The sequence below is a fragment of the Homo sapiens genome, chromosome 14 (assembly GCF_000001405.40).
Source record: "Homo sapiens chromosome 14, GRCh38.p14 Primary Assembly".
Taxonomy (NCBI): domain Eukaryota; kingdom Metazoa; phylum Chordata; class Mammalia; order Primates; family Hominidae; genus Homo; species Homo sapiens.
Window position 1 is genome coordinate 81184654 of NC_000014.9, and position 16211 is coordinate 81200864.

Here is a 16211-nt window from a genome sequence, read left to right on the forward strand (position 1 = left end):
CATCTATAAAGGAAACTTCATGCAAGGCATGAATTTTACATGTTCATAACTACATCGCCAGGGCCTAGAATAGTGTCTGGTAAATTTCCGCACTCTATAAATGTTGAATAAATAAGCTTTTGTTAGAATTTTTAGCATTTGGTAAAGATCTCTACTAAAATTATAAATGCAACGTAATATTTGCATGCATTATAAATTTAATGATTGCAATAAAAAAACTGTATTACAATTTAAATGTCTTGAAAACAAAAATCTCAGAAATAATACAAATAAATGTAACAAAAATACTTGGAAAGAAGCACCCTGTCTAGGAATTAAGAAAATAAGGAATCAATGGCTAGTTTTCACAGTATCTGGTTTAAAAATTCCTTAATGTTAGCAAACTACAGCAAAGTTAAATAATATTTTAAATAATTTTCAGTAAAAACTTATGTTTGTTTTTAGCACTGTTCATTGCCTTAGTCTTTTCCTTAATAATAAAAACAGTTACAGAGATTCAATTGAACCCTTCTAGTTTTGAGATAGTTGAGGCTAAATAGAAAACAGAATTATCTCATTGAGTTAGCTATTACCACAAAGGACAACCTCAAAGTGGCTGTTTACTCTGCTTACAAGTTCAAAGACTGTCTAAATAGAAAAAGAAGATCGTAGCTCTTTTCATTTCATTCATAACTTATTTTTCAAACATAAAGCTAAGAAATTAATCTTTCATTCTATTAAAATAATCCACAAAACTCTAACAGGGTTTTCGTACTATTCATAATGAATTTAAGAGGCATGAATCAGCTGCCCAAATGTTTCAATAAGGCAGAAAGAATAATGTAGGGAAGAAATTACAACACAAATAACGTCAGTAATCTGAAGATGACATCCTTACCTTATCATATTGGCATACAACAACATTTTCTGTGTCAAAGAGTTCCTGTCCTTCCTCATCACTCACATCATCTTCACTATTGAGGGGCTCCTACAAATAAAAGGAGAGTTCTTATTACTATAAGAAGGCCTTAATATTCACTGAAAAAAAAAATATAATGACCTTGATGTTCTTTGAGAACCAAATGCCAAATGCATATATGTACGCCATGAATTTAATATTGTCAAATCAGCTGTTAACAGTTTGCCAATATTACTGAAATGTAAGAAATTAAATATAATTAAATTAGCTAAGCTATGTAATTTTTAAGTCTGAAAAGATGTTTATCTTTATTTTCTTCTTTCTTTTTTTGAGACACAGTCTCGCTCTGTAGCCAGGCTGGTGCAATCTCGGCTCACTGCAACCTCTGCCTCCCGGCTTCGAGCAATTCTCCTGCCTCAGCCTCCCCAGTAGCTGGCACTACTGGCACGCGCCACCACACCCAGCTAATTTTTGTGTTTTTAGTACAGACGGTGTTTCACAATGTTGGCCAAGATGGTCTTGATCTCTTGACCTCGTGATCCACCCCGCCTAGGCCTCCCAAAGTGCTGGGATTACAGGCGTGAGCCACCACACCCGGCCTATCTTTATTTTCTTTATTTTTTAAAAACAGTACAAGAAGATAATTCTCTACAATAACTGTTTAAGATGCCTAGAAAAGGACCTAATATGAAGGTTCAAAAGAGCTAATGGCACTATGTACTACAAATCATATAAAACAGAAAACAGTGGAGAAATTAGAGGAGAAAAGAAGAGCAATGCAATAGGCTAGCAGTCTGCCTTGCTGTCTTTACATTAAAGAACTTGGACTCTAAATACAAATCAGCATGTTTAGCATGATGATGGTTATGGTAGAGGTATGAAGCAGAATTAAGATTCAGACTTTTTTTTTTTCTTAAAGGCAGAAAGTAGGAAATCTCAGCATTAAAGAGAGTTAGGGGCCAAGATAAAACCTAACTAGAGCATAAAATAAACAACCATGTTAAATTTCGCTTCAATTGTGACAGAAGATAGAAGATGTAACTGAGATTTCTAATAAATGCAGAAAGAGAAGACAAAACCAAAGTAGAGAAGACAATAATCAAGACTATATTATGGACAGGCACAGTGGCTCATGCCTGTTAATTCTAGCACTTTGGGTGGCCTAGGCGGGACAATCACTTCAGGCCAGGAGTTTGAGACCAGCCAGGGAAATACAGTGAGATGCCACCTCTACAAAAAATAAAAAAAATTAGCGAGGTATGGTGGCATATGCCTATAGTCCCACCTACTCAGGAGGATGAGGGTGGGAGGATTACTTGAACCCAGGTGGTTGAAGCTATGAGCCTTGATCACACCATTGCACTCCAGCCTGGACAACAACCTGAGACTCTATATCAACAATAAGAACAAAAAAAAAAAATTATTATGTCTAGGCCTATACCTACTTACACAGGTGTGTATGTATAGATATTCTTTAATTTAAAATAGGTATCATCAATGTAAAATGAAAAAAATTTTCTACACCAGGCGTGGTGGCTCACACCTGTAATTCCAGCACTTTGGGAGGCTGAGGCAGGCAGATCACGAGGTCAGGAGATCGAGACCATCCTGGCTAACACGGTGAAACCCCGTCTCTACTAAAAATACAAAAAAATTAGCCGGGCATGGTGGCAGGTGCCTGTAGTCCCAGCTACTCGGGAGGCTGAGGCAGGAGAATGGCGGGAACCCAGAAGGCGGAGCCTGCAGTAAGCCAAGATTGCACCACTGCACTCCAGCCTGGGCAGCAGAGTGAAACTCCGTCTCAAAAAAAAAAAAAAAAATCTCTGAGGTAAAATTCAAGTTAACAACATTCACTATTTTAGCATTTGTACATGTACAATTCAGGTGCAATGAACATTTACAGTGTATATAACACTCACCACTACCTAGTTCCAGAACATTTCATCACTCTTACCTATTAAGCTGTCACTCCCCATTCTCCCTGTCCCCTGGCAATCTATAATCTGCTGTCTGTATGGATTTGCCTATTCTGGATATTTCATATAAATGGAATCATATAATATGTGGCGTTGTGTGGCTGATGTCTTTCACATAGCATGTTTTCAAGGTTCATCCATGTTGTAGCATATACGAATACTTCATTCTTCTTATGGCTAAATAATATTCCACTGTTATCAGCTGATGAACATTTGGGTTTATACCACTTGGATATCATAAATAGGGCTGCTATGAACAGTCACATACAAGTTTTTGTTGAAAAACATGTTTTCAGTTCTCTTGTGTATATATTTAAGAGTGGAACTGCTGGGTCATATGGATAATTCTATACTGAATTTTTGAGGACTATCAAACTGTTTCCCACAGCAGCTGTACCATTTTACATTTCCACCAACAATGCACAAGGGCTCCAATTTCTCCAAATCCTCACCAGCATTTATTTTCTCTTTCTTTTTTGAGTATAGCTATTCTAGAAGGTGTAAAGTGGTTATCTCAGTGTGGTTTTCATTTGCATTTCTCTAATGACTAATGATGCTGAGCATCTTTTCATATGCTTGTTAGCTATTTGTGTATCTTCTTTGGAGAAATGTCTATTCAAGTTCTTTGCCAGTTTTTAAATTGCATTATCTTTTTGTTGTTACGCTGTTTAAGAGTTCTTTATATATTCTGGATAGTAGATCCTTATCAAATACATGATTTGCAAATATTTTCTCCCAGCTACTCAGGAGGCTGAGGCAGAAAGATCACTCCAGCCCGGGAGGTCAAGATGCTGAGGCTGCAGTGAGCCACGATCATGCCACTGCACTCCAGTCTGGGCAACAGAGTGAGATTCTGTCTCAAACAAAAACAAAAACAAAAACCACCTTTTTAATCTACAAAGTCCACTTTTTCTTTGATTGCTTGTACTCTGGGTGTCATGTCTAAGAAAACTGTTGCAAGCGGCTGGGCACAATGGCTCACGCCTGTAATCCCAGTACTTTGCGAGGCCGAGGTGGGCAGATCACGAGGTCAGGAGATCGAGACTATCCTGGCTAACACAGTGAAACCCCGTCTCTACTAAAAAAAAAAATACAAAAAATTAGCCGGGCATGGTGGCGGGCACCTGTAGTCCCAGCTACTTGGGAGGCTGAGGCAGGAGAATGGTGTGAACCCGGGAGGCTGAGCTTGCAGTGAGCCGACATCGCGCCACTGCACTCCAGCCTGGGCGATAGCGTGAGACTCTGTCTCGAAAAAAAAAAAAAGAAACTGTTGCCAAAGCTATGGAGATTTACCCCTATGTTTTCTTCTAAGAGTTTTATAATTTCAGCTCTTAGATGTAGGTCCCTAATCCACTTTAATTTTTGTATGTGGTATGCCGTAGGGGTCCAACTTAACTCTTTTGCATGCGGATATCTAATTGTCCAAGCATAATTTGTTGAAGACTATTCTGTCCCTACTGAATAGTCTTGGTTGATGTTAAAGTTTTGCAACAAATAGCATAAATAGCAATATTCTATTTTAAAAAGATTAAGTTTACAGATCCAAAATGTTTGAAAAGTGAAAGAATGAAAAAAGCTGTACCAGGCAAATTCTAACCACAACAAAGCTGGTACAGCTCTAACAGTATCATACAAACAGACTTCATGGTTAAAAAAAATTTACTAGCAATAACTTAAGACATTGTATGATCATAAATGGTTCAACTCACTGAGAAAAAACAATGAATGTTAAACTTACATGCACCTGTTTTGAGGCTCAAAATACAAAAAGGAAAAATGGCAGAAAAACAAGAAGAAATATATCAACTACCATAGCAGGAAACATGAACATATCTCACTCAGTAGTAAAAAATGGATCAAGTGGCCAGGCGCGGTGGCTCATGCCTATAATCCCAGCACTTTGGGAGGCCAAGGTGGGCGGATCACGAGGTCAGGAGATCAAGACCATCCTGGCTAACACAGCGAAACCCCATCTCTACTAAAAATACAAAAAATTAGCCGGGCGAGGTGGCGGGCACCTCTAGTCCCAGCTACTCAGGAGGCTGAGGCAGGAGAATGGCGTAAACCCGGGGGATGGAGCATGCAGTGAGCAGAGATAGTGCCACTGCACTCCAGCTTGGGTGACAGAGCGAGACTCCATCTCAAAAAAAAAATGGATCAAGCACACAAAAAATATCAAGGATACATAAAGAGCATCTGAGCAAACCTACTGACAATATAAATCTAACAGACACATACAAATACCAAACAAGTGCAGAAAACACATTCTTTTCAAAGCATATACAAAAACTGACCAAATCAAGCAAGTCTCAAGCAATTTCAAAAGATTCACACATCACACAGATCATATTCTCTACAAACAAAACAGTTAAGTCAGAAAAGAATAGAATGGGAAAAACACACTAGAGAGAATAAAGCTAAAAGTTTACTCTTTGAAAACATTAATAAAATCAACACATCCCTGGTAAGACTGAACAGGGAAAAAAAAAGATGGCACAATAATTATATTAGGAATGAAGATGACAAAGGATTCTGGCATCAAAAAGACAATATCATGATTAACTTCATGTTAATCAACTTGAAAATTTAGATAAATATATAGAGAGTCCTAGAAAAATATAACTTATCAAAACGGTCTCAAACAGAAACAAAATACTTGAAGGGCATGAGATTACTAGACCCAGGTATCTGTAGTGTCATGTTTTAACAAATATCAACAGAAGAATTAAATACAATCTTTGAAAAAAAAAAAAGAGTTCAAAATACAGGAAACATGTCCCCAAATTCATTTAACAAAGCTACCATAACTGAAAACCTTGTAAGAAGAGTATGAGAACAGAAAATCACACAGTATCTATCAATCATAAATATCTACAAAAAAGTCCTCAACAAAATGAATTCAGCAATTTATAAAAAGAGAAATATAAAATGATCAAGTTGTGCTATCCCAGGAGTACAAGATTGGTTTACAAATAGAAAATCAATTAATGAAATCCATTATAAATAACATTACGTGAGAAATTATACAAATCATTGCAGAAAAGGTGTTTAATTAAATGCAACATTCACTTACAGTTTAAAAAACAAAGCAATGCAAAGAAGGGAATTTACTTAACCTGATGAAGATATCCATTAAAAAAAAAGAAAACCCACAACAAACATTAAACTTAACAGTGAAGCATGGAAAAGATTACTTTTCAGTTTAAGAAGAAGAGAAGAGTGCCTGCTATCACCACTTCTAATCAATACTGTTCCCGAAGGCTTAGCCAATGAGCCACAAAAAACTGCCGTTCTTCATATAAGATGTGAAAGTCTACACAGAAGATACAAAAGAATCTACAGATACATTATGAGGACTAACAAAAGACATTAGGACGGTGGCTGGTTCAAGGATGAATATTAAAAGCGCTACATATTTCCATCCTACCAATAAACTGGAAAAGGTAATAAAAACATGTTACTTCAAGAAGCACTGAAACTATGAAGAATTTAGGGGGAGGAAACGGGCAAGAGACCTCAATAAGCACTTCTATACAAAACACAAATATCAAATAAATATACAAAAAGAGGCTAAAACTCCTAAGTGAGGAAATGCAAACTAAAACCAAAATGAAATAATACTATTTTCTACCTACCAGACCAGCAAAAATCAGGAAGCCTGACACTATCAGGTATTGATAAGGGGGTATGGACATCTGCACAATTATGTATTGAATGGCAGAAGTGATTTGGCATTTTATTATAAAGTTGCAGATGTGCATGACTTAGGAGCCAGAAGTTCAATGTTCGGTATAAAATTTAGAGAACCTCTTGCATTTGTGTCCCCAGAAGACATACACTACAATATTTTATAACTGTTTGTAACAGTAAACAACAAGAAACAATCCTTATGTCCACTGGATTAGAAAAATTGACAAATAAAATTATGGTATATTCAGCAATGAAAATAATTATAGCTATATGCAACAACTTGGATAAACCTCAGGAATATCATTTTAAGGGGAAAAAACCAACTTGCAGAAGAATACGTAATTACTTCATTTACGTTGTAAACATGCAAAACTAAACAATATGCTATTTAGGAATATAAATATATATGGTAAAATATAAAAGCAATTAATAATCAACACAAATGTATGAGCAAAGGTACTTTGATGGCCTAGGAATGATGGGATTAGGGAGAGGCATCTAAGGCACTTTAAATAATGGAATTTTATTTTAACTAGATGGTGGGCACCAGGATGATTTTTATCTTGAAACATTTCTATTCATTTGTGTCTATTCAATATTCAATAATAAACTATGTTTTCTTCAGAAAAAAAATTACTTAGATAATTTAGAAGAACTTTGTACTAAGAAACAAAAAGACTGCATTTTAGGCTAACGAAGGCAATTAACAGTGAAAATTGTGGTGGGACAAATAGTTTTTGGAGCCTAGTAACTAAGCTGAAATAGTGAGGAAAACAAAGGCATATTTATATGCTTCTAGAAGAACACAGACATTAAGGGTACATAGGTTTTTAAGGAAGTGGTATAGAACATGGACCAAAAGGTTTTAAATATTTAATAAATTTGTGACATTTGGTTCTTGAGTTTGCTCTCTCCCCAAATGTTGCCACGCTTTTTAAATTACTGAAGCAAAAGATTAACCACATCTATTTATCTACCAATGTCTTATGTTTAAGCCACATTATAAATGCGTAAGCCAGAGTTAGAATTACCTGTACTCTTTACTACACATATTAATACAATTTAATTTGTTATACATTTTTTATTACCAGCTATATGAAAGTTATATTTTATGAAGATAAATATAGCCAGAATATAAAAACCTTACTAAAGTTAAAACAATCTAACTTTATCTTTAAAATCTTATGTTGTACAGCACCTAACAGTCTCTGAAAAAAACAGGATATAATTTATCAGTGTTGTACCAACTAAAAAAGGAAATAATCAAGTAGATTATTTTAAGTATGTTACTAGAAACTTACTTCTTCCACCTGCCCATCTTCAGCTCCATCTTTCTCTTTGTCTTCCTCCTCATCATCATCATAGTCTTCTTCTTCATCTTCATCTTCTTCAGATGATGTATCCCCAGTTCCATCAACTTGTAAGACCAATGGAGCTTGTGTTTGAGCAGGCTGGGCCTGCGGTTGCTGCTGGCCAGTTGCAGTTATCTGTGCTTGGGCTGGTGTAGGTGCTGCCACTGTCGTAGGTATAACTTGAGTCTTATTTCCTGTAAATAAGATTTGCTGAGGCTGGATGATGACACCTGTCTGTGGTGAAATCCCTCCAGGAAGAGGAGCCAGCACCTAAAGCAAAAGAAAACCACATAACAGTAACTAGTTAAGAGGATCAAGTATGGTACACAGAAATAGAAACAAATGCTTAAGATTCACCAGAATGGCCATATTTCATACACAGTTAAAAACTACCAAAGTACAAAAGCAATTAGTTTAACTAGTGTAGTGACCCATTAAATTTCTATTTTATCAAATTTCTAGAAAATAAGGATTTTCTAAAGATAACTGCTTCATTTATTGAGCACATACTATGTATATGCCAGCTACCAGGACAAAAGTTATACACTGCCTTCACATGAAGAACACTGGACTGAGAATCTGAAAACCTGGGTCTACCTTTTTTTTTTTTTTTTATAGATGGAGTCTCGTTCTGTCACCCAGGCTGGAGTGCAATGGTGTGATCTCGGCTCACTGCAACCCCTGCCTCCTGGGTTCAAGCAATTCTCCCACCTCAGCCTCCTGAGTAGCTGGGACTACAGGTGCGCGCCACCATGCCCGGCTAATTTTGTTATTTTTAGCAGAGACGGGGTTTTGCCATGTTGGTCAGGCTGGTCTCGAACTCACGACCTCATGATCCGCCCGCCTCCCAAAGTGCTGGGATTACAGGCGTGAGCCACAACGCCTGGCCAACCTGGGTCTACTTTTGTCTAAAGTCAGACATAAATACAGCAGACGCAAGTCATTTAACTCCTCTTGGCCTCTGTCGTTTCACTGTCAAACTAGGCTTAATGGTTCTCAATCCTGGCTGCAAATATGAACCACCTGGCAACTTAAAAAGTACTGATACCTTGGCCATACCCCTAATATTCTGACTCAGTGTGAGATAAAAGCTAATTATTTTTCTAAAAACCACCAGATCAGATTTCTGAAGTTCCTTTCCAGGTTCTGCATCTAGGATTCTAAAGTAAGCCACAACTTGAAAAAATATATACTAACAAATATTAACTATATGTATTATAATAAAGGAGGAGGACTAGATGCTTGTTACTTGCCATTAGGTTCAAGGAATGCAAAAATAAGACACAGTATTTCCTTTAAAATGCTTACACGTGGTGTAACAACACAAAAGACAAAAAAATGGTATAATAGACAAAGCACTAACAACTCAAAAACACAGCAGATGTAGTACAAATATGACACAGTGTTATGGGAACACAAGAGAGTGTACCAAATTCAACTTAGGGGACAAAGCATGATCAAATATTACTTATATTATTAGTAAGTAGTTTCTGTTTGTGCTTAAAGGCAGCGGTCCCCAACCCCTGTTAGAAACTGGGCTGCACAGCAGGAGGTGAGTGGTGGATGAGCCAGCATCACCACCTGAACTCTGCTTCCTGTCAGATCAGCAGCAGCATGAGATTCTCATAGGAGCAGGAACCCTACTGTGAACTGCACATGCAAGGATGGAGGTTGTGCACTCCTTATGCCTGATGACCTGAATTAAAAGTTTCACCCCGAAACCATCCCTGCTGCCCAGTACATGGAAAAATTGTCTTCTGCAAAAACCAGTCCCTGGTGTCAAAAAGCTAAGAGACTGCTGCTTTAAGGAGATTAGCCAGGTTTTTCTATTTGTTTGGGGGAAGTGCAGGGAGTTGCCAGACGGCATTCTTAAGAGAAGTGTAACATCAAGTGAAACCCAGAAGTGACAGCAGTACATAATTTTGGAAAGATGTAAATAAACTGGATTAATAGTACTGCTCTGATCTTGTCTCTATCATAATACTATTTTACTGACATTTAAAAAAGAGACAGACACATAAACATATAAAGTACATAAGTTCCTCAAGAAAATAACCATTCCTCTTTCATTTTAGTGCCACAGCACAAGAATATAACACAAGTAGATCCAAGTGTTTATTTTGATGTAAATGCAGCTAAAGAAAATAACTGGGAGCATGGCAAGAAATAAACCTGGAGAGTTCAAAGAAACAAGATCCACAAAAAGATTTTATAAACCATGTTGAGTTGTTTAGGCTCTTCTCAGTAGGCAATGAAAAGCTGTTAAAAGTTTTAGGATTTTTAGAAAGATAGGCCAGGCACAGTGGCTCACGCCCATAATCCCAGCACTTTGGGAGGCAAAAGCGGGCAGATCACCTGAAGTCAGGAGTTCAAGTCCAACCTAGACATGGTGAAACTCTGTCTCTATTAAAAATACAAAAATTAGCTGGGCACAGTGGTGCGTGCCACTAATCCCAGCTACTCAGGAGGCTGAGGCAGGAGAATCACTTGAACCCAGGAGGCGGGAGTTGCAGTGAGCTGAGATTGCGCCATTGCACTCCACCCTAGGTGACAGAGACTCTGTCTCAAAAAAAAAAAAAAAAAAAGATGACTATAAATCAGCCAGGTTAGGAGGGCAAAAGATGAGAGGCAGAGAAACCATTAAGAAGACAATGCAGCATTTTAGTGACAAATCATGGACAGTATGAACTAAGGAAATGAAAAAAGAGGCTGAGAAAAAAACAGTGTCAAACATATTAAGGGACTGCAACCATGGCAAAACTGCAGTTAAAGAAAAAAAAAAGGCCGGGCGCAGTGGCTCACACCTGTAATCCCAGCACTTTGGGAGGCCGAGGCGGGTGGATCACAAGGTAAGGAGATAGAAACCATCCTAGCTAACACGGTGAAACCCCATCTCTACTAAAAATACAAAAGTTAGCCAAGTGTGGTGGTGGGCGCCTGTAGTCCCAGCTACTTGGGAGGCTGAGGCAGGAGAATGGCATGAACCCAGCAAGCAGAGGTTGCAGTGAGCTGAGATCGCGCCACTGCACTCCAGCCTGGGTGAAAGAGCAAGACTCTGTCTCGAAAAAAAAAAAAAAAAGAAAAGAAAAACTATTAACAAGAATTGGTAGGGCTTGATACCTTGGGTATTAGAGGTAAGGAAAAGGGAGGATTCTACACACCCACTTCCAGTAAGCATCATAAAACTAGAGTCATGTCTGTGTCATTCACTCCTAAATCCCCTGACCCTTGTGAATACCCCGAGACTCAGTAACTGCTTATTGAATAAAGGCTGAATGACCAGCTTAGGAAGCTGGAAGGAGAGTGCTGCCACCTTCGAGGGGATGATGAAGGATGGGCAGAGACAACAGTAATTGTTTAATACATGTTTAATACATGCTGAATCTAAGTTAAGCTGTATACAGGAGAAATTTGAAACAACTGGGTCTGTAGCACTGAAAAAGAGTCTTTTGTGCATATAAGGAGAGGGAAACTACCCAGGGAATACATACAGAATAAAACAGAACCCCATACTGATCATAATAGAAGATTATTTTACCTGCTGTATAACAGGAGCTTGTACTCCACCAGGCTGCATTTGTGGTATAACCTGTTGTTGTAGAACCACTGACTGCTGAGGCTGAAAGATATATTGGGCACCATTGGCTGCTCTGACCACCTGAAGAAGCTGGCCTAAAGCAAAAAGCATGCATTCCGAGTTATCATTTTAGCAGTGACCATCTCAAAAGAAATGAATTCATATTTAATTTCATACCACCAAAGGCACAAGAAATTATCAAGAAAACTAACAATTTTATTAAAGGTTGTCATTCATACACAGTATGCATAATCCTCCCCTTCTCTGACTTCTCGCCATGTTCAAATACATTCCTTAAAATGTTTTATTTTTCATATTTACATCCTCATTCAGCTATTTCCAACAAGGTTTTAACAACAGATTATGAGACTTGACTAAAGCTTACATTATCTTTGCTAACCTTAGGAGTGAAGAAAGAGCAGTAAGATCAGACACTTCGGGAGCTGTTCATTTTTAAAGCTTTAAAGGAACAAAAGCTTAATAGCTCATTTAATATCTTGAACCAAACAAAGCACCAAAGAACTTTGCTTCAAAATTGGTAAAAGCAATAAAAGTTCACAGAACCAGTTATCATCATTGTCATACAATTCACACAGAATCAAATTCCCCCAATATGTTCCTTTAGACAACCCAGAATCTTGAATTGATTAAAAAGCAAATTACATCTTATTAAAATATGTAGCAAGACAAGCCCCTAATTTCACAAATTTACAAATTAACAAAAATAACATACACAGAATAGAAAATAAATAATAACTATATAATCAAGATTATAGGGAACACTTAAAATCCATGTAAATAAATTTTTCAAGCACCAATATGCCAAAACACATGAGCTAGACATTGGTCTTTTGTCAATGAAGAGATACTATGTATAATAATAGCATACAATAAATTTGCTCTTAATATGCTCTAGGAATTACTTTGATATCACAAGTTCAAAGAAGTTTAATACTCACTTGGCATGTTAAATGTGTTCAGTAAAAAACTAAGTAAGCATTTTTATATAATCATACTTCAATAATAGGGTTATCATGCACAGATCAAAGGTTCAAGTACAATTTTCATCTTCTTTACTGTATCCTCAACAACGATTACAGTTATATGTGTTACAGCCCTCAAATAAAGTTATTTTAATAACCTAAACCAAATGGTAAAAGAAATATTAGTATTTTCTGTCTTTCAAAGAAGACAAAACCTAAGGGCTAGATAGTACAATTTTCTGAATTACATTTTAAAATGGTTCCATCATTCCTAATTACCTGAATTTGTTAATATCTGCTGAACAGGAGTCACACCTGCAGGGAGTGCTAAGGTAGCAGCTGTAGCAGCAGCACTCTGAAAAAAACAAAGAAAAAATATCAAAACCACATACATGTATAATACTGTTTCTCTCTAGCATATTTTAATAGTGTATGAAACTTTTTGTTTAGAATATACCAAAATTTAAAAAATCTAGTAAGGCTAAATCCCATTTTATAAAATGGTACAAGACTGACCAACCTAGCCTCCAACCTACTAAATTATTTTAAGCAGTTAAATACAACAATATAATTGGGTTTTTTCCCCTAGAGAAGGTGCTCTAAGTAAATCTCACAGGTACTGCAGTTTTTTTTTCCTTCTTGTCCCATCAATCTTCTTTAAGGTACCAAGCCTTCCTATACTCAATCTAACCTACACATTTTTAGACAATACCCACATTAACAATGCTGTACAATATATGAAATGGCTATTTCATTATTGCTTCCTTTCCCACTGTTTCCTTATCCCCATTTCCTTGAGATAAAAGTATAATTATCTACTTTTTAGAATTCTTAACTTTTAAAATTTCTACTAAAATCAACAGATATCTATAAAGAACACTGTATCAGAAGACTTCACTGGGAGTACAGCTGACAATTCTTCTAAGATGTCATATTAGCAAAGAAAAAAGGGACATACTGGCATTATATTCTAGGTGAAACATGCATTAATAACAGATTAATACAAAAAATCTGTAAATCTTAAGAAAAGTCACACCAGGCAGACTGGCTCACGCCTGTAATCCCAGCACTTTAGGAGGCCCACGTGGGCAGATCGCTTGAGCTCAGGAGTTTGAGACCAGCCTGGGCAATATGGTGAAATCCCATTTCTACAAAAAATACAAAAATTAGCTGAGCAGGGTGGTGCACACCTGTAGTCCCAGCTACTTGGGAGGGTGAGGTGGGAGGATGGCTTGAACCTGAAGGTGGAGGTTGCAGTGAGCCGAGATTGTGCCACTGCACTCCAGCCTGGGCAATAGTCACAAACTTTAGTTTCAACATTTTGAAATCAAGTTAGTATGTGACACTTAAGTTATAAAGATATAGACGGGATTATATTATGAATTTCTTTAAATCCAGGACAAATTCTTGACTTCCTGGAGAGTTCTGGAGAGTTTTCTCCTCCTGTCCTCCCGCAAAGAATTATGCCATTCTCTGGTTTTTTATTCTGCACTTTAAGTATTTTCCTGTATCCCGCTATAGCTACACATTTTGGTAGTTTTTTCCCTCTCTTTTCAATCTTCTTTAGCTACCAACCATTCATACATTCAATCTAACCTATACAGTTTTAGAACTACCCATATCTGAAAAAGCTTAAAAAAATAAATATAACTGCTTTGGAAATGCTAGTGTCAGAGAAGTCAACAAACTTAGAAAATTATTAAACTGAGTTAATAGTTCAACTACTGTCTAGTCTGGGCTCTAGGTACATAGCTTTCCAAGAAAATACACTTGTTGCCACTTGACAAACCTAAGTAATTTCTACATCTTGGGCCTGAAATTCCCACTGTGTCTCCAGAATTTAACTATAGCCCACCCGGGTGATTCGTATTTAAGTTGGATACTCAATTACCCAATTTAAAATAAAACTTGGCTATATAAGCAAATTAAAGGTTATCTAAGTTTAAGGAAAATATTAACCACCACATACTATTAAGAAATATTTAAAAAGAAAAAAACAAAAATATTTAGAAATATTAAGTGCCTATAATTCATATTTTGAAAGACAGCAATTCTCCCTCTACCAGCAAACTGACATAGTAGTTTCCATATAGAATACACGACCCAATAACTACCTGCACACCCTCCACAAATTCAAGCTGCATAACATATATTTGCTGAGTCATGTACCATACACTAACCACCTTATACTTAATAACTATTAAAATTTCTTCTTGTATTCCACAAAACAGCCCAAACACAAATAATGCATTAGACCAATCATTTCATAAAAAAGAACCGAAAACAATGGTTTTCTAGAAGTTCCCTGAAATAGCCTTCTACTATATTATCTCACGTTTTTATGATTAGTTCATTTCTAATGCAAACAGAGCCATTAGAAAGAACAAATATATTTTTGCTATTTCTAAATCAGAATAATGCAAACCCACAAAAACCTAAAACACTTTTATTGGTACAGAGCCTATACTGATTATGTTCAGAAATACATGAAGGAAACACTGACTAAAAACAACAAAGTAAAATGTAAAATATACAGAAATGTTAAATCAATTTTCCTGAGTAACTGACCTATGATTTGTTTAAATACATATGCTCTTTAGAATAAAGGAGACTTAACCAGTAAGTAAGAGATGGACCACTAATTTTTATCCCAGAAATAACTTACTAATTCAAAATTCTCTTCCACAACATTTAAAATTCTTTTAGAGGGGCCTACCACAAGAGACTCTGCCAAAATTTGTTTTAAAATAATGTGAGTTATTCCCTAGGATATAGTCTTAATAACATCAACTACAATAAGCAACATATAGTGAGACTTTTTTTTTTTTAAGGGTGGAGGTTAAAAAAAATTGGGGCCTTAGACTTAAAATGGAGTTTTTTCCAATAAAAAATCTTGTGAGAAATAACAGGCATGAAATTTTTTATTTTCATGTAAACGAAAAGATTCTAGAAACTGCAACTACAAGTACAAACAGAGATCCTCGATATTTGTGAATTTAAAAACTGCAATTTCTACTATCATGTAGAAACTTTCAATTCTGCCACAGTATGAATTTGTGAGGCTGGTAATGTGTAGGAGGAAGTCATCTGTCTAGTGGGTAAGCCCTTCTTATCTGGCTTATAAACCACAAATGAACTTTGTGATTCAGTATCACTCACAAAGTAGAACTCATCTTTTCATACACTGCTTTTTGGTTTAAAAAAAAACTTGAGGCTGGGCGTGGTGGCTCACACCTGTAATCCTAACACTTCAGGAGGCCGAGGTGGGCAGATCGCTTGAGGTGAGGAGTTGGGCGACCAGCCTGGCCAACATGGTGAAACCCTGTCTCTACTAAAAGTACAAAAAAATTAGCCAGGTGTGGTGACATACACCTGTACTCCCAGCTACTCAGGAGGCTGAGGTGGGAGGATCACTTGAACCTAGGAGGCGGAGGTTGCAGTTAGCCAAGATCACACCACTGCACTCCAGCCTGGGTGACAGGGTAAGACTCCATCTTCAAAAAAAAAAAAAAACTTGAACGGAGGGAAAAAAAAATCTCATTTCTAGTACTAACTAGTTACATAGGTTAAAAGATCTTTTTACAAATATTGATTCTTTCACCTTTAAATAAAAGTTTTGGCTGAAGAATGAAATGTAAGAGCTGAGTCACCACTCAATGAAATCAACAGTCTGTATATTTTAAACAGAATAAAGAAAAACCATTTATAAGGAAGTATTGAACTACTCTAATCTGA

General features: G+C 36.7%; 1 protein-coding gene across 3 annotated transcripts in view; it reads right to left on the reverse strand.

Moving 5' to 3' along the window:
- The window catches only part of GTF2A1 (general transcription factor IIA subunit 1), a 45939-nt gene that overhangs the window by 9202 nt on the left and 20526 nt on the right, over window positions 1-16211 (reverse strand). For all 3 annotated transcript variants that reach the window (NM_201595.3, NM_015859.4, NM_001278940.2), the window contains 4 exons: window positions 12756-12831; window positions 11455-11588; window positions 7866-8186; window positions 878-967 (listed from right to left, as the gene is read on the reverse strand). In NM_201595.3, the coding sequence (NP_963889.1) occupies window positions 878-967; window positions 7866-8186; window positions 11455-11588; window positions 12756-12831 (621 nt within the window). The remainder of the gene's footprint in view (window positions 1-877; window positions 968-7865; window positions 8187-11454; window positions 11589-12755; window positions 12832-16211) is intronic.